General features: G+C 38.9%; 1 long non-coding RNA gene across 1 annotated transcript in view; it reads left to right on the top strand.

The window, feature by feature from the left end:
- LOC107986432 (uncharacterized) overlaps positions 1 to 25,916 on the top strand; it is a 113,452-nt gene that overhangs the window by 66,398 nt on the left and 21,138 nt on the right. The window contains exon 6 of the long non-coding RNA XR_001742795.2: positions 3,284 to 3,380. This is a non-coding gene — a long non-coding RNA (uncharacterized LOC107986432). The remainder of the gene's footprint in view (positions 1 to 3,283; positions 3,381 to 25,916) is intronic.

Below are 25,916 nucleotides of genomic sequence, written 5' to 3'. Positions count from 1 at the left end.
CTATATATAGGATCATGTCATCTGCAAATAAAGATAATTTGACTTCCTTTCTTTTTATTTGAATACCATTTATTTCTTTCTCTTGCCTGATTGGTCTGTCCAGAACTTCCAATACTATGTTGAATTGGAGTGGTGAGAGAGGGCAAGGGATGTCTTTTTTATAAACAGCTTTATTGAGATATAATTCACATGCCATACAGTTTACCCATATCAAGTATATAATTCAGTGGTTTGTAGTATTTTCACAGATATGTGCAACCATCACCATAGTCAGTTTTAGAACATTTCACCACCTCAAAAAGAAACCCTGTACATGTTAGCTATCACTCTTCTCCCCTGTGACCCCAAGTCAGTGTTGTTTTTAAGGGTCAAAAATGCAGAGTGATTTATGTGTTTATTAGTTGAGGTCTGGCTAAATAATTAGAAAACATCTAAACAATGGAATATTTTGATGAAGATATAAAATAAAGATTTGGAGGTATTTTTGCAATCTACTTTTGAGTGGAGAAGTGGATTATAGATTAAGAGAGCACAATTAGCATCGTAACATTTATGTGAACTGTATGCTTATACAATACGAGTAGATGCACAGATAGATCACAGAAGGAATGTTCAACAAAATGCTTATGACAAGATAGTGATAATTCAAGTATTATTTATTTATTTTGGGGTACTTTTTGTATATACATTTAAAAACAATAAAACAATTTAGAAAGAAAAACAAGCTTGCTATTTGAAATAAGAATGAATGTTAACTAAGTGGAGGTGAACTTTTACATGCCAGGAGGCACTGGATTTAATATTTTGAGTCCCATTAGTTACAGGCTTCCATTATTCTGGGTAGGACTAGATCAGAGGTAAAGGAGTGCTCTGCTGTGGAATATCTGCATGCCCCCTGCCTCTTTATCTATCACCCATACAGCAAAATGCCTATGCAATCCTTTTAGGAATTCCCAACTGCTTATACCCATGGTTCTCAAATTTACTGATGGTCTCTCAGAATCACCTGGAAGCTTGTTAAAAATACTAATGTTTGGACGCCACCCTGGAGATTTTGAAGTCATATTCTTAAACTGTTATGTACTGCAGTCTTCAAATCACTTGTAGAATAATATCAAAATTTCTCAATCAGGGAATAAAGACCCTCACAAATATTACTCCAAGTTATCCTTCCAATTATAATTCTCAATATCTTCAGGGAAGATATTCTCCCTACTTTCTTCCAAATTTATGATGTTTATTCTCCCCACTGTGCTTTAGTTCAGTGAAATAATACTGCGTAAACTACTGTCCCATTCTTTCTCTGGAGAAACTTGTGCCTGCGTGAGTTTGCGAGTGCTACCACACAGCAGAGTATCACAGGCTGGGGGGTCGTAAACAACAGGAATTTATTTTCTCACAGTTCTGAATACTAAAAGTTTGAGATTGAGGTATCAGCAGGGTAGGTTTCTTTTTCTTTCTTTCTTTTTTTTTGAAACAGGGTCTTACTCTGTTGCCCATGCTGGAGTGCAGTGATGTGATCTCTGCTTACTGCAATCTTTGCCTCTTGGCCTCAAGCAATCCTTCCTCCTCAGCCTCCTGAGTAGCTAGGACAACAGGCACAAGCCACCATGGCCAGCTAATTTTGTTTTGTATTTTTGGTAGAGATCAGGTTTTGCCAGTTGACCAGTCTGGTCTTGAACTCCTGGGCTCAAGCGGTCCGCCCACCTCAGCCTCCCAAAGTGCTGGGATTACAGGCGTGAGCCACCAGGCCCAGCCTCTTTAGCTTGTTGGTGGCCATCTTCTCCCTGTGTTTTTGAATGATTTTCCATTGTGTGTGTTTATGTCCTAATTTCCTCTTTTTATTAGGACGCTAGTCATATCAATTAGAGCTCACCCTAATGACCTCATTTTAACTAACTACCCCTTTAAATTCCCTATCTCCAAATTCAGTCACAGTCTGAGATGCCAAAGGTTAGGGCTTCAACAGATGAATTTGGGGGAGGAGAGCACAATTCAGCCCATGACACCTGACCTCCAAGGCCCTCTACACCTGAAGAATCATTAGGTACATCCAACCCACACTGGTCTTCCCATATTCTGCATTTCTTTATGAGAACCATTGTTATTTAACTGCTTTATCTGGAAATGCTCCTTGCCTCTCAGGTCACTTCCTTGAATATGATTTGTACTTTTCTGGTGTTTACCCCAATTTTCAGCTCACTGCTTTGGACATATAGTCAGTAATGCATAATGCATTTAACTAAGCATTTAATGGAGTTTTCTCTCCCATTAATACCAACTTTGAGAATACTACTTCTTGGATATAGTAAAGATGGTTGCTTCCAGGACTTCAAAATCATGGACCAGATTGGCCAAACTGCAAGATACAGTACCTGAATACGAATTCAGTGATGTAGCCAGAAGACAGTCTATATTCAGGATTATCAGTGCAGGCAGCAACAAAACACAGACTCCTGAAGTCTCGGTGGTTTCATACAACAAAGATATCTATATTTCTTCCTCAAATTCTGGTCTGATACAGATCTGACAGCTTCCACCATTTTGTAGTTACACAGTTGGGCCAGTTGTCTCCAGGTGGGAAGGCAGGGGAAGGTTTGGAGGATGGGGTGTCTTGAGAGGCCAGATCTGGAAGTGTCTCTGCTCCTTCTGTCCGTATCCTATTTGCAGAACTAGTCACATGGCCCAGATCTCACCCTCAGGGAGGCTGGGGAATGTGAAGGGCACATGGATATTTGTTACAAACATTCTGACATTCTGTCCTCTAATCCAAACCTCATCTTTTTCTTTTTTTTTTTTTAACTAGTATTTGGGAAAACCTCAGCAACTTTCTCACTGTAGCTCCTTTAGAACCGAGCAGCATTAGAAAAGGGCACATTCCCTCTCAGTGGGTTCCCTAGCAGATGGTATTGGAGAGAATAGAAACAGAGTGGCATGAGGGTAGAATCACAGATTTAGGACTGTAGCGATCCCATTTGGGGTTCTGGGGCTCTGGATTTTAGGACTCCTTCAGGTTGTATGGACATCGTGCCAGGACTACAAAGGTTGGGGTAGAATCCGAGATCTGGGGGCTACTTGTTGGCTTCTGAGCTATCCCAGCGCTAGGATCAGTTGGCCAGTGAGTCTGGGCTGCAGGTTTGACTCAGCTGGGAAAGTTATTTGAAATCAGTGTAATTCACTTAATATGGTGGGGGGAAGATGCCTTTCTTCGGTGATCTGGATTGAGAAATAAGACTGGATGGGTACAAGCATCCAGAAAACAAATGGAATATTTTTTTTCCAGGCTTTTTCACTCCTCAGAAGAAAAAGTGGACACTATATGCCCCAATGCAGCCGCATTCCTGCTGGTCCCCAAAAGTATAGTCACAAAATTAAACAGGGTAAGTCACCCTACTTGCAATTTTGCTTGGTTGGAAAACTTAAACAATTTAAAGTTAACTGATTTCATTTTCAGTTTAATTTAGATCCACTCTGTTACATAGTCCAGCACTGGCACAGGCAGTTGGCACGTGTCTGTGCAATCGCTCTCCAAGCAGTAATAATCGTCACAATATTACCTTTCACTCACAGCAGGTGCCTCCAAGGAGCTCCTGCACCAGAATTGTTTGGCGGGCGGAATACAGCCCTTTAATGCGCTCAGTGCATTGAGGAACAATTGAAACATAGCTGTGATGAGGGGTAACCATTTTATGACATGGCTATTGCATTATCTCTATTGTTGTAATGGCATATCATTGGCTACCACTCATCAATAGGTTTTTATGGCACAGAGTGATCTAATAAACAGCGGCAGATGGAGTTTGAGTCTCCTTGGAGAATTGACTAATCCTACAACCTGTGGAACTGCTCTCTTTACATTTTTCCTCGGCCTTTTTCAGAGACCATAAATGAATAAGACAGAGAAACTGACAGGAGGAAAGCAAGCTGCCAGAGCTTAGAGCTGTTCTTTTGTCTGTACTGTTCAGGAACTGAATCTTATTCAAATTCATAGTAATTTTTTTTCAAGCCAAGCCAACTCACATTGGGAATTGGAACTCTGCATAATGCTAGACGAGCTAACACAGTAAGTGGGTATTTCTGCTCTCTACCACCCTCCAGAGAATTTTTTTCTTTCTAATTGCATTAGTCCGCTCAGGCTGCCACCAAAAACTATCACTGAGTGGCATAAACAATAGAAATTTATTTGTTCTCAGTTTTGGAGGCTGGAAGTCTTAGATCAGGGTGCCAACATAGTCAAGTTCTGGTGAGGACGTTCTACTTGTCTTGCAGATGGCTGTCCTCTTGCTGTGTCCTCACAAGAGGGATAGCGGGGAGAGAGAAAGAGAGCTCACTCTCTGATGTCTCTGTTTCTAAGGGCACTAATCTCATCATGAGGCCTTACTCTGAACACCTCATTGAAACCTAATTATCTTCCAAAGGGCCCATGTGCAAATATCATTAGATGAGGGGAGTGAGGCCTTCAACATATGAATGTTGGGAGCATAACTCAGCGCATAGCCCTAACATAATTTATGAATAGGAGCGCTTGAGGAACTTCTTAGTGGATCTCGCTGCTCCTCACTAGGCCCGTACAATCTACTCTCAGTGGAGATAGAATTTTAAAGATACATAAGCTAGATTACATCACTTCCTTGTTCAAATCCTCCAGTAACTGCCATCACATCTAGAAAAATATACCATGGACTACAAGGGTCTGCATGATTCAGACCCTTCTTTCTTCTAGTTTCTCCTTTGCTTACTTCACTGCTAACATACCGGTCTCTAGGAATTCCTTAGGCACATCAAATGCACTTCACCTTGAGGGCCTCTGCAGTTGCTGTCCCCTTTATCTGGAGCACACTTTTTCAGATATTGATTGATTGATTGATTGATTGGGGCAGGGTCTAGCCCTGTTGCTCAGGCTGGAGTGTAGTGGCATGAATATGGCTCACTGCAACCTCCACCTCCTGGGCTCATGTAATCCTCTGTTATCAGCCTCCTGAGTAGCTGGGACTACAGGTGCTGCACCCCCATGGTTGCTTAATTTTTTTTCTTTTTGGTGTAGATGGAGTCTCACCATGTACCCAAGCTGGTCTTAAACTCCTGGCCTCAAGTGATCCTCCTGCCTTGGCCTCCCAAAGCACTGGGATTACAGATGTGAGCCACCATGCCCAGCCTGTCAACTTCTTAAAATGTTCCTTTTTCCCCAATTGTCTCTAACTATATGTTCTGGTCAACGTGACTACTCTATCTTCAAAAGACTTCATATGAAACTTTGTTGTTTTTTCTTTCTCTATATATTCCTAATAGCTAGAACAGTGCCTGATACATAGTAGGTACTGAATTAGCACTCTTTACAAAAAATAAAGAAAATACTATATACAGCCCAGCGACTCCGGCATTTGTACTTCTATCCTAGTCCTCTCTCTGATTTCCAGGTCTGTATATTCCACTGACTACTTGGTTGTCCCCAACTGATTACTTCATAAACATCTCAAATGCAAAGTTTTCAAAACTGGTTAATCCATCTCATGAAACCTGAGTCTTTTTTCATGTTTCTCTTCACACAGTCTGGGAATGACTTTTAATTTCCCCCTTCCTCATCTCCCTATAATAACAAAATGCTAATTCTATCTCTAAAATACATCATGACTCTCTTCTTTGCCCCATCTCTACCAATGGCACTCTTGTCCAAAATACCACCGTTTCTTGCAACATCTTTCAACAGGTCTTTCCACTTTCGTTTTTTACACACCCCTCCTTATCTGTTTTTGAAACAATAGCCAAAGTAATTCTGAGTATTTAACAGCAAGAGTGAAAGCTTATTGAGTTCTACCACATGCCCGTACTCTGTTGGTACTTGAAGATGACCAAACATGAATTTTGACCTTCTCAGAGATTAAAATGGAAATCTGTTCATGTACCTACCCTATATAAAAGTTATATTTTTTACAAAAAGCTGTATAAAAGCTAAAATGTTACGCCTCAAAGATGCTTCCCATGAAACACCTAGTTAAAAACTGAGTCGCGTCTAACACACTCTTCATAGCATTTACATTTGGTTTTATTATAGTTGGTAATTACAGATTTATCTGTAACTGCCTAAGAGTGGCCTCTGCCATCATCTGCTTACAATCTTTTAAGCTCTGTGTGCTCACAAGCCATGGTTTGTTTGTTTGTTTGTTTGTTTTTTTGTTTGTTTTTGAGACAGGGTCTTGCTTTGTCTCTGACTGAAGTGCAGTGGTGCCATCATAGCTCAGTGTAACCTCCGACTCCTGGGCTCAAGTGATCCTTCTGCCTCTGCCTACCAAGTAGCTGGGACTACAGGTATACAGGCATGCACCACCACACCTGGCTAATTTTTGTTGTTCTTGTTGTTAGCTTTGTTTCTTGTAGAGATGGCGGGTTGGCGGGGGTGGTCTCAATATTTTGCCCAGGCTGGTCTCAAGCTCCTTCCCTCAAGCAATCCTCCTGCCTCAGCCTCTCAAAGTGCTGGGATTACAGGGGAAGTTTGCATTTTTAACTGCCATATCTTCAAGGGGTAAGCCAACAACCAAGTACACAGTGGAAATGCAATAAATACTTACAATTATAGCCAAAAATGAGTGGGACACTGTCTGCCACCCCAAAAAGTTACCCAAGATCTAAGCTTTTAACTCTGGTACCTTGAAAATCTTAAAATAGAATGCTCCAACAAGTTACTACAAAATGTATAATATGCCCAGTAACTGAGAAAAGGGAAGCATGTTTCCCTTTTGAAATCTCAATGAAACCATGGCTTTCATTGAAATTGTTTAGTTTTCTGTTCAATAGTAAAAAAGAATCATATTTTCCTGTAAGGAACTTACTTGCATTTGATCATTATATGTCCTCAATTGTTCATTTGCAAAGCACACCTTTTAAAACATCTATTCTTTAGGATAAACTGCCAATTTATTAATGGAAGTGTTGAGATTTTATTATCAAAGTGAAATGCTGCTACGTAAAGTGGTGGGAAGACACATATTTTATCCAGTTACTCAGTTATTCTTAGCCAAAACTACTTTGCATATTTAATACAGGATTTTGACATGGATTTTTAAAGCCCAAAGTATCATACTGTCTTGTTTTAACAGCAACAATTGTTGTTATTACTAACAACCACAAAAGGCCTGGCCTCTAAATACAGGTGTTTTTAATCAAAATACAAAGGATGCAGTAGAATCAGAATAGGAGACTAATTTGGGACCAAGCCTGAGGCAATTTGTTATAACTGAACTGATCAAATCAAGTTTAGGGTCCAAACAAAGAATATATCTCAATCTAGGTAAGAGGCCAACAACCTATACAAGCCCCAAGTGCCAAGCTGGCCAATTTGCTCTTTTGCTGTAGAGCCCACGAGCTAAGAATGGTTTTACATTTTTAAACTGTTGAAAAGCAATCAATACAAAATACTTTGTGACATGTAAAAATTATATGAAATGCAAATTTCACACAGCCATGTCCATTCATTTACATGTTGTCCATGCCTAATTTTGTACTACAATGACAGAGTTAAGTAGTTGCAACAGACTTTCAAAGTTTTTTGACTCTAATTCTTAGTAATATACATTGAGAGCTGTATAGTCGCATAGGTACATAGCTAAAAAGTTTCACGAAACAATACTTACACTATTCTAATGTGCTCTGCTGTGTTCTGCTCCATTCTGTTTCATTTAAATAATATTTTAAATGTTATTTCTGATTCTGATCCACTAATGATTGCTACTCACAGTTTGAAAAACATTCATTTGGATTTGTTTTCTCAATCCTGGTTGCATAATCATAAATAACCAAGGAAGTTCTTAAGGAATATGAAGCCCCACTCCAGACCAGTCTCTGGATACCTGAATGTTAGTCTTAAAAACCAGCAACCAGCAATCAGCCTCTCAGAGTGATCTTATTGCGCAGCCAAAGTTGAAAACTCATCCCCTTGCTACTCAAAGCCTGGTCCTCAGAGCAGCAGTCTCTATATCACCTGGGAGTTTGTTAGAAAGGCAGAATTTCAGGCCCCATTGTAGACCTACAGAATTAGCCCGTGCTTCTTAGAAAGATCCCCAGGTTATTCATATCTACATACATTAAAGTGTGAGAAGCGCTGATCTGAACTAGGTAAAATTTTGATTAAGCACTGCAGCATGAAGGATTCTTCTTTGTGGGGGAAAGGAAAATGGACATACTTGCTTCTGGTTAGAATTGGATTCAGACCTGCAAGGGCAAAATGTGAAATGGCTAAAGATAAAATGTATCCAGAACAAAAAGCCATTTCATCTGTGTGTCATTTTCTACCTATAGGAGGTGATTCAGCTCTCAAAAAAGGGGATTCACACAGAACTGGGTTTCAGGAACATAGCAGGAGTGACCTTGAAGTGTCAAGCCACCCGACATCTGAGCCGGGTCTAAGGGTGTGTGAGTCCTTCCTCCCTCTCTCCTGCACCTCCAGGGGGATCCATTACTTGGTTTTCTCTAATCTCAACCTTTCCACCTGGGTCATAATCAGGCCAAATTCTAGGAATCGGAGTCTAGGCTTTGCTACTGTCTGTGTGATCAGAAACATCCATGTTTTAGAAACCAAAGCTCTCTGGGGCATTTCATCCTAGTGAGATCAAAGGCAGAGTTTCTGAGTTTTCGCTGGTTGCTGAGTCCAAGGCTTCCCAGGGACACAGTGAGTCACAGAGGAGCCACGGAGGGGTGAGGTCTCCAGCAACCTACACAAACTCCTTGGCAACTGGAACCTTGGACGGAAAGTTTTCCTCTGTTATTTCCTCAGGCCTCTTCCACAGTTTAAACTATCTGTGTTCTCACAGCATTTCCAAATGCTGGTTTAACCTTCACTGCCTTGAGCAATTCTATTCGGTGCTGTTGTTAACTTTTTAAGTGCTGGTAAGAGACCACAGCATTTTGTTTAGATATTTGCTTTGTTTTGTTTTACTTTTGGTTTTGGTTGAGGGAGAGGATGTGAGAGTAGAGGTACTGGATTCGGACGCAGACACCGAGAGAAATTTAATCACGTAACTCTAGATCAAGTCAAGAGTATTAGGAGCAATCTCTGTTTTTTAGTTCACAACTTTCTTCCAAACAAATAAACAATAAGAAAACCAGATCTAATTTTAAATGACCACATCTTAATCTGTCTAGAGAAGTTTCTACAATTTCTCTTTGATATTATTGCTCTTGCAGTCCCACTGCTAAGAGAGTGCCTTCCTAGGCAGTGGTTCATAAAGTGTGATGCCCTGGCCAGGAGAAACCCTTCCACCTGGAAATGTGTTAGAATACCTGTTCTCAGGCTCCATCCAGACCTACTGAATCAGAAACTCTAGGGATGGAGTCCAGGTCTCCAGGTGATTCTGAGTCATGCTAAAATTTGAAGACCTCTGTTCTAGTAACATTAGCTATAATTTAAACTGATCTTAAGGACATGTTAACTTGATTTGGAAAACAGCTGGTTACTACTCCTGAATATCTTTGGAAAAAAGTTGGGTTTATGAAAGCAGATTCTTAGCCTGAGCATAGGTAGATGAAGACCAGCTTTTTAGGGCCACCGTAGCACTTTTCTAATGAGAGCTTTGAAAATTGTATAAACATGACCAAGCCCTATTATTAATCCTCACACTTACCTAGTGGGTTGGTCACCTGTCGTTGAAGACGATGTATTCCGATGGAAATGAATCTGTCAGAAGGAAAAGAACATGTTGCTCTCATTTTGCAACTCAATTATAACTTCCAGTCAATAAACTAGATAAATTAATGTATATCTGGAAGGAATTAAAATGCCTTCAAACAATGTAAAGTTCACCTGTCAAGATTCATTTAGCAGAAAGAAATCTCTGTTCCTGCAACTAGTGCCTTAAAAGCTGAAGGATAAGTCAATATTCACACAAATACAAAGACTCATGCAGTGTATAAGATATGTTTGCCCAGTGAATCATAAAATATGGCCTAACAGAGATTTCCAAATAAACTGAAGGTCTAAAGTTGCTGCCCACTTCTCTGGGTTAGCTGTAGTTCATGAAAGAGATTATACCCAACCCCTGTATAGGTGCTTAGTAGAAATATCTTGAGATCACATCAATGTGTTTTAAGGGTCGCTTTAAAAAAAAAAAAAAAAAAAAAACCCAAAACACCTAAATCCAAAGGAACTAGAGACCAATGATTTTCCATTTAGAAAGTTGTTTTTTTTTTTTAATAAAGGGTAAGTTTTGAGTAATGCTATGAACAAAAGAACCTACATGGTTTAATGGAAAAGTAGGAAAAGAGAATTTCAGGTGGAGATTTTTTTATTCTTAAAACTTACATATTATCCATTCATAGATCTATTCGTTTGTTTATTCATTCCTTCTCTCCACATTTCTTCACACTCTGAGCTCTCCTTGCCTAAGGGATTGAAAATCATCATTAGTGATGAATATTCTGATGTATAACTATTGATTATCAAGGAAACAGAAAAGATTTGGCTATTCACAAGGTGTGTGACCTTGAACAAATTAAGTTTTCAGGAGTCTGTTCTTTTCATTTCTGCAACAAAATTATACTTTTTTTTTTTTAATGATTCTTGTGAGGAGACATCCTATACATTCCACCAATGTGATTTCCTCTCAGTGAAGTGGAACATAATGGAGAAACAGCTAACGTTTAATTGGGTGTTTCATTTTGCTTTGTGAATAAGATTAATACACCAACTTTCTTTGTTCATTCTAGATTTTTCTAAAATTTCAAATACCCAGAAAGAAGTTATTCCCTCACTCAACAGTCTCACTTTTTTTTTTTTTTTTTTTTTTGAGATTGAATCTTGCTCCGTCATCCAGGTTGGAGTGCAGTGGTGCAATCTCGGCTCACTGCAACCTCCACCTCTAGGGTTCAAGCAATTCTCCTGCCTCAGCCTCCGAGTAGCTGGGACTACAGGCATGCACCACCACATCAGGCTAATTTTTGTAGGTTTTTGGGGTTTTTTTTTGTTTTTTGTTTTTTTAGTAGAGACAGGGTTTCACCTTGTTGGTCAGGCTGGTCTTGAACTCCTGACCTCAGGTGATCCACCCATCTCAGCCTCCCAAAGTGCTGGGATTACAGGCGTGAGCCACTGTGCCTGGCAACAGTCTCACTTTTTTCAGTGTTTTTTTACCAGCCACATTACTCCTATTAATCAAGCTAAATATGTCTTTGTTCTCTTTACAACCTGACAACTTCAAAGAATTTCACGATCCTACTATCTCTTCCTTTGCAGCACCACCCTTGCCTTTTCTTTCCCCTTGCTTCATCCTCTTATGTCTGAATTATGCAATAATCTGTTACATAGTTTTCCTGCTTTCAGTATCTCCTTCTAGTCAATCTAGTCCTGACCGTGTAGCAGATAATTAGACAAGCTTTAGAACTTTACTGCATGGGTTTGACTGTTAGCTCTACCTCTTTATAGTGATATGAACTTGGCAAGTTATTTCAACAGAAATAGCTCCCATTTCTTTGTCTGGAAAATGGAGATAATAAAAGTATCTATTTCACATATGGTTCTTTCGAAGATTCAATGATGGAGTAGATATAAAATTGTATCCAGTAAAAGCAAGCATGATATAAAATGTTAGCTGTTATTGTCTTACTCACTGATGAGTTAATCTTACTAAGGCATATTGTATCATGTCATTACCCACTCAAAAATCCAGAATGACTTTCCAATGCCAACAAGTTAGAGCGGAATGTTCATAAATGGCTGATGACTTTATTAAAGAACAGGTATTCCAGAAATTCCTTAGTGCCCTTACCTTAAGCAACCATGTACACTAGAGCAGAAAGGGAAGCTAATATTCGCACCCAAATACAGGGGAAAAATAGATAAATCAAGAAGACCTTATAATTCAGACTGGAGGATCACATGCTAGACATCCTCTCCATTTCTTGTGAATGTGGTGTCATCTTCGCCCCCAGGGGACCATTGCTTAAACCTCTGAATTTCCCAGTTCTAAGCCCCCTTGTTCCTTCCCCCATCACAACCTTGTATATGGTCATTTTTTTTGTACTTCTCCTACTTCCAAAGAATTTCAGACATTTTACAAATACATGTATAGCAGGAGAAAAATAAAAATATAACACGATGTTAAATATAATTAAATTTAAAACTGGAGCAAAATGAGCCCTCTTAAAATCTGGTGTGTTCAAACCAATTTGTCCCGTGTGTGTTTGAATTAGACCCATAAAATTCATCCATCATCTATCTATGAAATTGGGGACAACAAGGTCCTTCTTCCTCACCCATTCCAAGGTCGATACCTAACATCCTGTAACAAAAGTCAAGTTAAAAAGAGAAAAGCATAACACATTTATTTAAAGGATTAATAGCAAATGAGTATGCCCAAACCAAATTTACACACAAATTACAATTCAAACAAATATTTTCTTCTGCTAACCTGAAGTTGGAAAGGAAAGGATAAAGATAAATTTTTACCTTCCACTTTCCCTTCACGGGCACTATAGGCAGAGATCCCGAAATACTGACCTTGGTAAAAACTTTTTTTTTTAACCTTTTTTCCGGCTTTTTGTCAGTTGTCCCAGGATCTCAACTGCAGGCTCCGGAGTGAGTCAAGTGCCTCAGCCACTCCATGTTGGGTGCCAGAAACCGTAGAGGTAGAAAGTGAGAAGGTAATACCTTTTAAGGTCATGGCTGACACTTCAATACAGAAGACCAGTTAGCAAAAGAAAAGCATAACAAATGTATTCAATTAAAGTTTTATGTGATAAGGAGCCTTCAGAAATCAAGACCTAAAGACACAGGGAAAACTGTGTACTTTTATGTTTAGGTTCAATGAAGAATGGACAACCATGTAGAAATGTAATTGGACAAAAAGGTTATGATCTAATGGTCATAAACTAGGGGAACTTATGAAGTCCTGTTTAATCAGATTCTTTTTGGCCCCTCTGTTTGGCATTCTTTCCTCTGGGTATAGGGCAGGATACTTGTCACACGAGGGTCTTCAGGAGAAAAGGGAAAAGGGCAAAGAGTGACACTTACAGGTATTATGAATTGCTTTGGGATGAGGAGTTCTAGTTTCTATGATCTGCTCAGAGGGGAAGTGGGAAAGCAGAAAGGAGGGTTGGAGAAGGCCAGGGAGGACTTCTTGCTTCTGAAGCCTTTCCAGTCTCCTTCAGTTCCAACTACTCAGCATACCAAAGTGCCATATTTTGGGGTATTGTGTTCTAAGCCCCAGCACTATCTATCTATCACTGATCTCTCTCTCTCTATGTTTCTACATCTCTATCTGTCTATACATAAATTAGGCAGGCAACTGACTCATGGGTGGGAGACGGAGATTGTCAGTTTTGACATCTGATAATCAACAGTAAAGTGTTGTTATATTCAGATACTCAATGTTCTTCTAAAAGGTAAATCCATTGTTCTACTAAAACTTGGAGAATTGGGGGGAAGAACTGACACTTTTATTCCAAAATAAACTTCGAAGTTTTTCAAAATAAAACTAAATGTCTTTGAATAAATGTTGAAATAGTGGGAAAAACTGTAGGTATTTTTAAATAATCTTCTGGAGGATTCACAAAAATATAGCTATGTGGAAAGCCTACATCTCAGTTTCATAGAAATAAATACATGATGAGCTTCGAAACAGATTAGTGGAGACTTAGAATGTAAGATTATTTTTCAAGAAACTTGAATAAATTTACTTCTCAGTATAAAAAAGAAAGTGAACAATATCCTTGCCACATTCCAATATAATAAAAAAATATGAGGACTAGAGAAGAACTGTTTCAAATATTGATGTATATGCGGGTTGGCCACACGTCCTGTTTTACCCTGGATAGTCCATGTTCGCATGTGTGGTCCTGTTGTGATTGTTTTTAATGCCTCCTTTCATTCTTCACAATAATGTTCATCCTATGTACGTAAAATTAGATGAAGGATGTTTTATATGTTGACTAACTAAAATTGTCTGATTTGCAAAAGTAGAGCTCTAACTGAAACTACCTGTTCGTTTGGAAACAAACCAAACAACCTTCTAAATGAGTGTTGCTTCTAGGAGGTGTGAGGACTTCCCAAATTTTTTTTACATATAATGATAAAAATTCTGCCTGGATTTAGAAATTTCAGTGTTTGATAGGGATTACCATTTCATTCTTTCCATCTGATAAACCACCTCTAACTGACCTCTGGGAAGGGCTAGGATTTCTGGCAGGGGCACAGGGCAGCTGAGAACATGAGGCTAAACAAAACTCTATTAAAAGTAGGGATTAAGGGAAGGATATTAATCTCATGCAAGTTCTCTTGACAAATCCTAAAGAGACTAATATAATCATAGGTCACAAACCAACTGTGAAGATTAATTAAACCCTTAGGTTAATTCTCCCGATTCACTTTCCCGATTTTCTATAAAAAGTATTTCCAAGTCCTTATAACTTTAAGCTCTTTCCCATTCATGAGTTCTTTAGAAAAGCAGTAGAGACTTCTGGGGTGTTCCAGGGAGAGATCTTACAGGCAGCCAACAGAGTCCAAGACTTCAGTGGAATATTGCCAACTTGCAAATATTAAGAAGAAACTACCCATGACTCTTTAGACAGGTGTCTCCAGAGATAGCTTTAGTTTGTACCATCAGGTCATCTCTGTGATTTTTTTCCCCATGAAACTGCATTAGAAAACTATCAAAATAGACAAGAAAGGTATGATTTTTTTAAAAAAACCAAGGTCTCGAGCTCATTTAGGGGAACACTATCATTACTTTCATGTTAGACCTTCCATATACTTTAATGAATGACATAAGTGAGTATATGAGATGACACATGAAAACATTCTTTGTAAAGGGGTTATACAAATGGAAGGCATTATTATGGTTATCACTTCACCCGTCTGAATCCTTCAGATTCCTTGGGGCGCCTGGCCACAGGATAGTACAATGTTTAGAGCTGAATTGCAGCTAGGCCGTTTAGAATCCCAAAGGTGAAGTTTACCAACTTCCTCTTCAAGTAAGTGGGCGGGCAGTGGGGCAAGTGTTGTTGCAAAGCTAATGTGTTCATTTCTTCCTCCTTCCCAAACTTGTTTTGACAGTCAGGTGAGCCAGCCAACTTATGAAGACAGTAGTTTGGGTCAGGAATAAATCCTTGTTCTGGATTTCTTTTTTCCCCTCTTTGAACAGCAGCTTCAAGTTGACTCAGGTTTTACTTGTCTTTTCTTGAGTTCAACATTTATGCTTCTAAGAATGCATTTCTTATTCCTGAAACTCAAAGAGGCAAATGAAAGGGAAAGAATAATCAAGAAAAAAAAAATAGAAAAAAACATGAAGGTGGAACAGAAAGAAAGCTAGAAAAGAAACAAAAGGAAAAGATTGAAGTGGAAATCACTTTTGGGCAATGCTCTTATTTTTTTCTTGGTTTCAGTTTCCTCTTCTGTAACACAGAGATAATATTGATTTTTTTTATAGTAAATAGCTTTTAGGAAAGTTAGTGGAGCCAGGTGTGGTGGCTCATGCCAACAATCCCAGCACTTTGGGAGGCTGAGGCAGGCAGATGATCACTTGAGGCCAGGAGTTCGAGACCAGCCTGGCCAACATGGTGAAACCTTGTCTCTACTAAAATACAAAAAAATTAGCTGGCTGTTTTGGTGCCTGCCTGTAATCCCAGCTTCTCAGGAGGCTGAGGCAGGAGAATCCCTTGAACCCCGGAGGCAGAGGTTTTTCCAAGAAAATGACGTGATTCAACAAATAATTCAGTATCTTTTGCAATGGAAATAATTTGAAAGTAGCCAGAGATGCCTCTTAGGTTACGACTAATCTCACTGAAGAGTCATGCCCTGAGTCCCAAGGGTTGTTTGATGCCAAGCCTGAACAGCTGTTACCCGGATTGTGGACTCAGCTGGTTTGATTTTGGACAGTGTGAGAGGCAATAACTAGAAAAGACAGATCGTAAAAGACCTTAAGAAATACTCTTCAATTATAGGTGTGGTGTTTTCAAGTCACCCTGTTTTTCACTGAACTCAGCTCCACCCAGAGGCGAGAGGAGTCAGTAGCCAGTCAGAGAGAAACCACTTTGTAAAGCTCTACAAATACAGAAATAAGGAAGGAGGAAGCTGGAAGAGGAAGCTTTACCCTGGGGTACATTGTTTGTATGAAACAGGCAACCATCTAGTCTTAAGCTCAGCGAGCAAACTCCAAGAAAGTTTGTAACCCAGGTCCTCCCTTTCTGCGAATCTCTGAGGAGGCCTCTCTGGTCTCTTGAATGCCTGTTCCTACCCAAGCTGAGAGAAATTCTATGCCCTATTTAGTTACAATCTTAATTCTGAGATACAAGTGGCATCCAGGGCATCCTCTGTCAATCTAGGAAAAGAATGAGCAATAGGAAATATAATTTTCATATACCCAAACACATGCACCATGTGTCAAAGGATCAAGAAACACACATTTTTTTCCCCTCCCTGGACTGTCACCTGGACCTCTTGGCCTTGCACAGGGAACTGCTGTAATGTCAGAAGACTCTTTGGGAAGAGAACAAGTTATGCAAAAGACAACCAAAATTATCTAGTTCAGTAGAGCTTGTCCCTTGCTGTATATTAGAACCATCTGGAGAACTGTACAAAATACCAGTACCAAGCTCTACTCCAGAATATTCTGATTTAATCTTCTGGGTGGGGGTCAGGCAAAATTATTTTTTAAATTTCTCCAGGGTGATTCTAAAGTACAGTAAGAGCAGAGACACAAAGATTTATTTGTGTCCCTTTACTATATAACGGTGTCTAACATGTAATAAGGCCCCCCAAATAATGGTTATAACAGGAAAGGATAGATGTGTTAATTAATTGATAAACATGTAAGTTAAACCTTTTTCTAGAAAGCTGGAAATATAAGCAAATATTCTGAGATATGAGCTTGATTTGCTCCTATACTTCACTTGGGTGAATTTTCTCAGTATTGTACAATGTGATCAATCACAATAAAAATAAAAATTGAGTACTGGCTCAAATGTAGACTCTGAAGATGCCATCAAAAAGGTGCGGTACTTCTAAAACTGCATGCACAAACTTTTTTATATTCCTCCCTTTAAGAGGTGGAGTCTAATTTCCTGCCCCTTGAGTGAGGGCTGGATTTAATGACTTGCTTCTAATCAATAGCATAAAGTGGAAGTTGTGGTGTGTAACTTCGGAGACTAAGTCACAAAAAGGTGCTGTGATTATTGCTCACTTTCTCTCTCTCTGTCTCTCTCTCTCTTTCTCTGTCTCTCTCTCTTTCTCTGTGTATGATCGCTGACTCTGGGGAAAAGAGCTGACATACTGTGAGGATGTTCAGGTAGCCCTGTGGAGAATCCCACATTGGGATGAACTGAGACCTTCTGCCAACAGTAATCTGAGTGAGCCCTCTTGGAAGCGGATCCTGTAGGCATGGTCAAGCCATCAGATGATTTCTCATGTGGTTGCAACCTTGGCTGACAGTTTGATCCAGCTAAGCCATTCCCAGATTCCTGACCCTCAGAAATTATGTGAATAATAAATGTTTGTTGTTTGAGGCTGCTACATCTTGGTGGAATTTGTTATGCAGCAGTAGGTAACTAACACAGGAAGGCATGATCCCTGGCCTCCACAAATTTACAATGTAGTTGGAAAAGTAGGTTATAGGCACAAAAAAAATAACAAACTACAAAAGAATTTAAACATTCTATCAGATGAACAGGACTGCTGTGGAGTAGAACTCCAGGGGATGACATCCACATGATGGTCTTTATGAACTGCAGGTCCTGAAGCACTGTGGACTTGACAACAAGTAATAATTTAAAGGAAGAAATCAAAGTTATAAAAGTTTGAATTGATAAGATTTGGGTAAACAGTGAGAAGACTATACAAGTCTCAAGATATGTCTGGGAATCTCTCATAGTTATGAGATGTCTGTTGAAGCCAATGATGTAGTTCCATTACATCATATTATATATATATCTATATAGAAATTAAGATCCGTTAATCTGGATCTATAATTAGCTCACTGAGATTGCATTCAGCATGCTACCAAAACAGACAATCAGTCAGATCAATAAAAAATTGCAGTTGAAGTAGCTAATTAATCATTGTGCAAGTTAAGTTTTCTTGGCTTTAATGTTAACATTGTTCTTGGCATTTGTTTCCTTGTTTTTGAGATGCAGTTTCACTCTGTCACCCAGGCTGGAGTGCAGTGGCACAGTCTTGGCTCACTGCCCCCAACCTTCGCCTCCTGGGTTCGATCAATCCCCGTGACTCAGCCTCCTGAGTAGCTGGGATTAGAGGTGTGCGCCACCATGCCTGGTTAATTTTTGTATCATTAGTAGAGATGGGGCTTCGCCATGTTGGCCAGGCTGGTCTCAAGCTCCTGACCTCAAGTGACCCTCCCATTTTGGCCACCCAAATTGCTGGGATTACAGGTGTGAGCCACCGCGCCTGGTCTGTTCTTGGCATTTTTTTATTGCTGTATGTTGTGTTTTCTTTGAACTGTACCAGCAGTGGGCCTCTGACCACCATTTGTACAAAACGACTTAGCACTGTCAAAGGTGATTAGAGATTGAAATTTGGATTTAAACTGGAACAATCTGAGATCCATTTGCAGGAATTTAGAATTAGGATTTAGGCCTGGTACAGTGGCTCACACCTGTAATACCAAGGTGAGCAGATGGCTTGAGTCCAGGAGTTAGAGAACAGCCTGGGCAACATAGCAAAACCCCATCTTTACACTAAAAAAAAAAAAAAAAAAAATTAGCTGGGCGTAGTGGTACACATCTGTAGTCCCAGCTACTCAGGAGGCTGAGGTGGGAGTATCATATGAGCCCAGGAGGTCGAGGCTGCAGTGAGCTGAGATTACACCACTGCACTTCAGCCTGGGTGACAGAGAGAGAACCTATCTCAAAGAAAAAGAAAGAATGGGGACTTAGTTCTCCCTTCCTTCCTTCCTTCCTTCCTTCCTTCCTTCCTCCTTCCTTCCTTCCTTCCTTCTTCCTTCCTTCCTTCCTTCCTTCCTTCCTTCCTTCCTTCCTTCCTTCCTTCCTTCCTTCTATTCAGGGTCTCGCTCTGTCACCCAGGCTGGAGTGCAGTGGCGCAGTCTCGGCTCACTGCAACCTCCCCCTCCCGGATTCAAGCAACCTTGTGCCTCAGCCTCCCGAGTAGCTGGGATTACAGGAGAGTGCCACCACACCTGGCTAATTTCTGTATTTTTAGTAGAGATAAGGTTTCACTATGTTGCCTAAACTGGTCTTGAACTCCTGGACTCAAGTGATCTGCCCACCTGGCCCTCTCAAAGTGCTGGGATTGCAGGCATGAGCCACAATGCCTAGCCTGGGGTACTTTCTTAAGTGGAGGATACATTGGTATATGTTGTCAGTAATTTTCTTCCATATTAACCGGGAAGCATAGCGATCTAGTTGAGAGACATAAAGGGGAGAGAGTTCTATAGCTTCCATGAAATATCCCTGTAACTTTATTTTGTTAATTGCCCTTTATCACTGCAGCTGGTTACAAGTAGATCTTTCTGCAACCAAAATAACCCAATTACAGTACCATTCATGATTTTACAGTTTAGACTATTAATATTAAAAACCACTTGAACTTTGTCTATTTCATATTATAATAGGGCCCCAATGGCAAAGCATCTATTATTTTGTACTTTAAGTGATTTTCTTTTTCCTAACTTCCCAAAGAAATGGCGCAAGTAAAAGAATTTATAAACAACATCTGTCTAGCTCATGTTATTGGTTATTTGTGTGAAAATTTGTCTTATTACTCACACAAGATTTTTTTTTCACCTTCTGGAAAGGAATAATCTACAATTTCCTGTAAGTAAAAAAGCCAGGGAATATTTTTTTATTCTGATCTAAGTTATTCCTTCACTTTTAATTATTACAACTACTATTACCCTATCCAGCCAGAAAAAAAGTCTGACCTCATATAAATAAAGCTTTAGAATAATATTGATTTAAAAAGTTTCAATAGTAATGGTAGGATAATTTAAATAAAAGGGACTGTCATACTCCCACATGAAATATAGATAAAAGAGTTAATAAGATAAACCTAAAAATAAGTTTGAAAAACTATAAGATTAATTGAATGGGTACAAGCAAAGACTAAGAAATCCAGCAATATTTCCCTCTATTTTCTTCTCCAGTAGTGTTTCAGATGATTCTGAATTCCACAGGAAGTGGTAAGATCTTTTCATGATCAGTTTTTCCTTTTGTTTCTGGGGAAGGATCATATCTGGCTTAGTGACGTCTATTGTAAGAGATTGTTTTTCAGAATATTTTAACTCATCTTTTGGGTAACTGATCTCAGGTCTGAAAATTGCAAAATGTTTCCAAATGCAGCTTGTTCCTTTGAGCATTCCTCTTTCATAATTCTAGTTATGAAACTAGTAACTCAGGCTATCTGTCCTGGTGCAGGGGATTTACCTTTTCATCTCAGGAAATTTTGAAGAATTTTATACGTGTATCAGAGTATCCAAAATTATTGTATTAGTCTTTTATGAAAAATTTAAGTTCTTATTTCTGCTTCTATCTCCTCTGGGATTTTCTTTATTGTGTCGTTTGTATTGCTTCTTGCACTTGGTGTGAATTTTTTTTTTTTTTTTTGAGAAGGGGTCGTACTCTGTCAACCAGGTTGGAGTGCAGTGGCATGATCTCAGCTCACCGCAACCTCTGCCTCCCAGGCTCAAGCTATCCTCCCACCTCAGCCTCGCGAATAGTTGGGACAGGTGTGGGCCTCCATGCCTAGTTAACTTTTGTATTTTTAGTAGAGATAGGATTTCACCATGTTGCCCAGGCTGGTCCCGAACTCCTGAGCCCAGGTGATCCACCCACCTGGGCCTCCCAAAGTGCTAAGATTACAGGCATGAGCCACCGAGCCCTGCCTTGCACTTGGTATGAATGCTTTATTATGGTAGCCAGTGGTGATTCTATCAGCTTATTTCACCCTCAGTTTTTATTCCTTGCAAAGACTGAAGAAATTAACACAATCTAGGGCAACTATTTAACTTTAGAAACATTTGATTTTTTTTGGAACTCAAGATAGAGTGGTGAGTCAGCAGGGAGTAATACACTTGGTTCGTGGGAAGAATAGCTTTGGGTGGGCTGAAATGCTAATGCCAGAGCCAGGTGTGGTGGCTCACACCTGTAATCTCAGCACTTTGAGAAGCTGCAGTGGGAGGATCGCTTGAGCTCAGGAGTTTGAGAAGAGTTTGCAACTTAGTGAGACCTTGTCTCTATAAAAAAATTCTAAAAAGTTAGCCGGGCATGTGGTGCATGCCTGTAGTCCCAGCTACTTGGGAGGCTGAGGCAGGAGGATTGCTTGTGCCTGAGAGGTCAAGGCTGCAGTGAGCCATCATTGTGCCAGTGCACTCCAGCCTGTCCAGCAGAGTGAGACCCTATCTCTTAAAAAAAAAAAAAATAATGTCAGAGATAAAAGGCGGAGAGGGAAGCAGGGTGGCTGGAGTGGTAAGGGAAGTGCATGCCTAAAGATGCACACTGGATTAGGGTGGTTCACCTGAGATGATGTGATTGTGGAAAAAATTGAGAGAGGCTCTGTATGTGGCCAAGATAGTTGGTATTTACCTACATCTGCTCTTTCCTGACACACATGTCCTAGCCTGTCCAGCATCTAGACAGAACCACGTGACTGAGTGCTGGCCAACGCACTTCTAGTGACGATGACCACATATTCCACAAAAGCTTCCATTCTCTCATTCTTTCTCCAACCACCTTGATAGAAATGAAGGATTCTGAGGGTCTAAAGGACGGTGACACCACAGAATGAAAGGAGAAGGGATTCCAAGTCATCGCTTTGAAAAGAGGGATACTGGACTTTGCATAAGCAAGAAATAACTTGATATTATGATAAGTCACTGAAAACTAGGTTTTGTTTATTATGGTAGCTAGTATCAATTATTTTGATTAATACAATATCTCTTTGATTCTGCTATTGTCTTTGACATTGTCACAGAAAGAGAATAAAAAAGGAATACAGAAGCAGAAAAATATTACTCAGGGAGAGTGTATTAGTGGACGGGGGAGGGAGCAGGAGAAAACAGATGGCGTTGGGCATGGAGGGCCTCATGAGATAGGAAACATTGTGTTGGTGAACTGACCTAATTTTAGAACTGAGCAGGATGCCTCTAAATGTACCTTGATTTGCATGAAAGTAGAGTGACATATTTTTGACAACTACAGTTAAAAGGATATACCACCTTCTAGTTTATGCAAGTGTAAATGAGGCACGATAAATTAAGTTTATTAAAAATATGAAATAGGAAAAATCAGATATCAAATATCAAGTTCATATGTACATACCGAGACTTTTTAAAAATGCTGAAGTACACTATATGTATTTCAGAATACCATGTGGAGGAATAGGAGAGGCCTTAGGCCCTGAGCTTGCTGAGTTGGGGAGTGCTGTGAGGCTGTGCACTGTATGTGGAGAATGTTTGGATTGTGTATGATTAACTAGGAAGCATGCAGGGCCTGGGAGCCCAGAGAAAGTGGCAGGAGAGGACTGGTTTTTCTCTTCGCTTTTAGTATTTAAATAAAGTGACTTAGAAGTCAATCTTCATTCAATGAAAAAAAAATTTCATTATCAGGTTTGGAACAGTTATTTGAAATTACAGAACGTGTGAATGGTAAGGCTCAAGTTTCCTTTGAAATTTAGCATAGTTTTTTTTTTTTTTTTCTGAAACATGGAACAAATCCAAAAGTCTGAAATAATACTGCAAATGCTCATTTTTCCATAAATGATTCCTCTGTGACCATCAAGTATATGTCATTATCTTTTAAATATGCTAACATTGTGGCACCCATTGATTAGAATAAAAGCACTCGTGTGTTCCTTTCACAAACTGTCAGTGACAGACAATTCCTTTGGCTTGGGGCTTCTCCTTTCTTTTTCCCCATGCCTATATTAGAGATTTGCTTGGACTGAGAAGTTAAATCTATTAGTTTATGAATAGAGGTCCCACAGGGTTTGGCACCCACAGCTCCAGTGGTTCTGAGGTTCATGGTACACTAATCGTTGTGGTCACCTAATGTCATCTATGAAGCAGATTTCACAGGGGTGTCATTTCTACCAGGAACGGGAAGCCTGTGGCCTTTAGCCTCTGAAAATCTTATCTGCTATAATTGCTACTCTAGAGATTGACTGAACAAAAAGAATAGATGTCTTAAACACCACTTGTGCTAAACCCAGGGCTTAAATAATTTCCAGCAAACTATATGTATATTTTTTCTGAATTCAAATTTAACACACACTCTATGTAGAAAACTTGAAAAATACGGAAAAGCCAAAGAAGAAATTGAAAATCACTGTAATTACACTATTAACAACATGTTATATGTATGTATGTGTATATTTGTGTGTGAAGATTTGTGAATATGTTTACATTATAAACATAACATGTAAAGGTATGTTATATATTTCTATAAATGTATAGTTTTTGTATTCATATTATATATTTATATGTAAATATATATGTACATATTTAGAATTTTATTATACATATTTTTATTAGTGATAAACTTTGGATTGTATTATAAAAGCTATCTCACTTTAATTGTTAATATTCTTAAGAACTTCTAAAATATTCTTTCAAGTGACTATGCAAGAACTTTCTGCTGTCATTTATTTCATTCTCCAAAAAAATTGTATGATGGAAGAGCATGTATACTGTATAATCTTATTTTACCACTATTACATTTTTCTTTAAAACACATGGTATTCTCTTTGAAATGAAGCTTTATAATTATTAGAACTGTGAACTATATATAACTCATGAACATCCCCAAAAGGAGGCTTATTAAATCAAGTATCATGTGTACTTCTTTACATACCATAAGTGTATTGTACTGCCATTGGGGGTGACTGTACAAGCCATATTTTAAAAAGTCTCCCTAATTTGGCCATGAATTTAATAGTTTTGGCCATTGTCTATGATGCTTTTAGAGTCCGTGAAGGGTCACTTACTGCTGGAGGTGAATCAGTAGTCTCTCCATTTTTCCCAAAATGATAAATGATAAGCCATTTTAATGGTTTCCTATTTCATTGGAAACCTTGGCACTCTCAAAATCTGTTATAAGGAATGTTCACCTAAGTCACTTGTAAGTATGCGATGGCATGCTGAGCTTAATTTTTACTTTGCCTTGAAGCAGGCAGAATGTAAGCAATTCCTCTCTGCTTCATGTTCACAGTTTAGACCTAAAATAGAAAGCAACTATTGCTTATTCCAAGAGTCATTCAGGGCCTTGGGTTCTATATATTTTACTACATGACATCTGGAACCAAGTGGAAATGTATTATACTTCCAGCTGGTCTTTGTCTATTCTGAAGGTCTAACTATTCAGCAACCATGCTTAGGAGAAGGGGTGGAGGCTAAGGGAAGTACAAATCACTGAAGTTAAAAGGCTTGTCATCTTTTAGGGAGTTTTAAAATTGTGGTCACAGTTTTATTTATCACAATCTAAATCCTGTGAAGAATGGTTGTTCTCTAAGGAGAAGAACCTTGGAGTTCTTCTCTATTTGGAAATGGTCAAATAGTTTCTTTCTTTTTTTTTTCAAAGAGACAGGGTCTCGCTCTGTCACCCAGGCTAGAGTGCAGTGGTGCAATTATAGCTCACTACAACCTTGGACTCTGGGACTCAAGCAATTCTCCTGTCTCAGCCTCTCAAATAGCTAGGACTACAGGTGCATGCCACCACGTCCAGCTTAGTCAAATAGTTTAAATTCTGCAAAATAAACGAATATCACAATTCCAACTGGACAACCTTGTATTCTAGGTGGTAATGGGCAAAATACAAAATCCACTCAACTTTACCTGTAGACTTCTATAGGTTTGATGAGATAGAACAATATAATCATGAGTACAGTACCCAGAAAACAAGAAAAGTATATAATAGTATGTATTTTGTTAGTAGAAAGTATAACAAAATATAATAATAATAATAGAAATGAAGCAGTATCTGAGTTTGCTTACATAAAATCATGGTATACTAAATTTAATAATTTTTTTTTAAAAAAAATATTGGGTGTGTTTGCAAAGGAAGCCTTCCCGAGCAACCATTTAGTGGATAATTCTGTCTCTTGGTAAAAATCTCCTTTCAGCAAACCAGGCAGACATTAATCTAGAATTGTACTACAATTTTCCAATCTTGCAGTAACTCTTCTGTGTTTGAAATTTGTTAAGTATTTTATAATGCTTGTGTCCTTGACTCCTTGACTTAAATATTTGCATTGCCAAAGAATTCCAATTTACCTTTTGTTTTTAAGGCATGCTCAATTCCTACTTCCTTTCTAATAAGTACATGAACCTGTAACGCTTTAAAAAATAATTTCTCAACCTGAATGAAATTTATTTCTCTTATTATTTGCTCTTAATATTAGACCTATTATAAAAATCTATAATATAGTCTATATATTTTTCCTTAGTTGTGTAGTACAGAATTGGTCATATTTACTTGTATAAGTTTCTTTGTTTCATATCCAGGAAAGTAATTTCCTTTATAAAATTTTCTATTATACTATCAGCAGGCAGAGTCCACGAGTCTGAATTTCAGAGGAAACTGAGCATTCGTGTAAATAAAATGAATTATTATTGAACCTATCATGGATAATTATTTGAACTTGTTAACCCCTAAGAACTACTTCAGACTATTTACAGTTTTAAGGTGCTTTTATGAGAGAGACAAAGATTGTGCACGTGTGCAAAAGAGAAATCACACAGTCTTCCTGTGCTGTGGGGAGAGCAAAATGGTTCATTCCATTCTGCTTCTGCCTCCATCTTACATCAAAATAATTCATCTATGTACAGAAAAAAATTTTTCCCTGCCTTTGCCACAATGCAAATTGTTTTGAGAACACTTACATTGAGTGTTTTTCTATCTCATCTAGGATGAAATGTATGTACTTTGTTGGTGAAACTCCTACAAGGCAGAAAATGCCAATTGCTCATAATCTC

This window comes from Homo sapiens, chromosome 5 (assembly GCF_000001405.40).
Source record: "Homo sapiens chromosome 5, GRCh38.p14 Primary Assembly".
In the NCBI taxonomy this organism is placed as follows: domain Eukaryota; kingdom Metazoa; phylum Chordata; class Mammalia; order Primates; family Hominidae; genus Homo; species Homo sapiens.
This window is presented reverse-complemented; position numbering and strand designations above follow the sequence as displayed.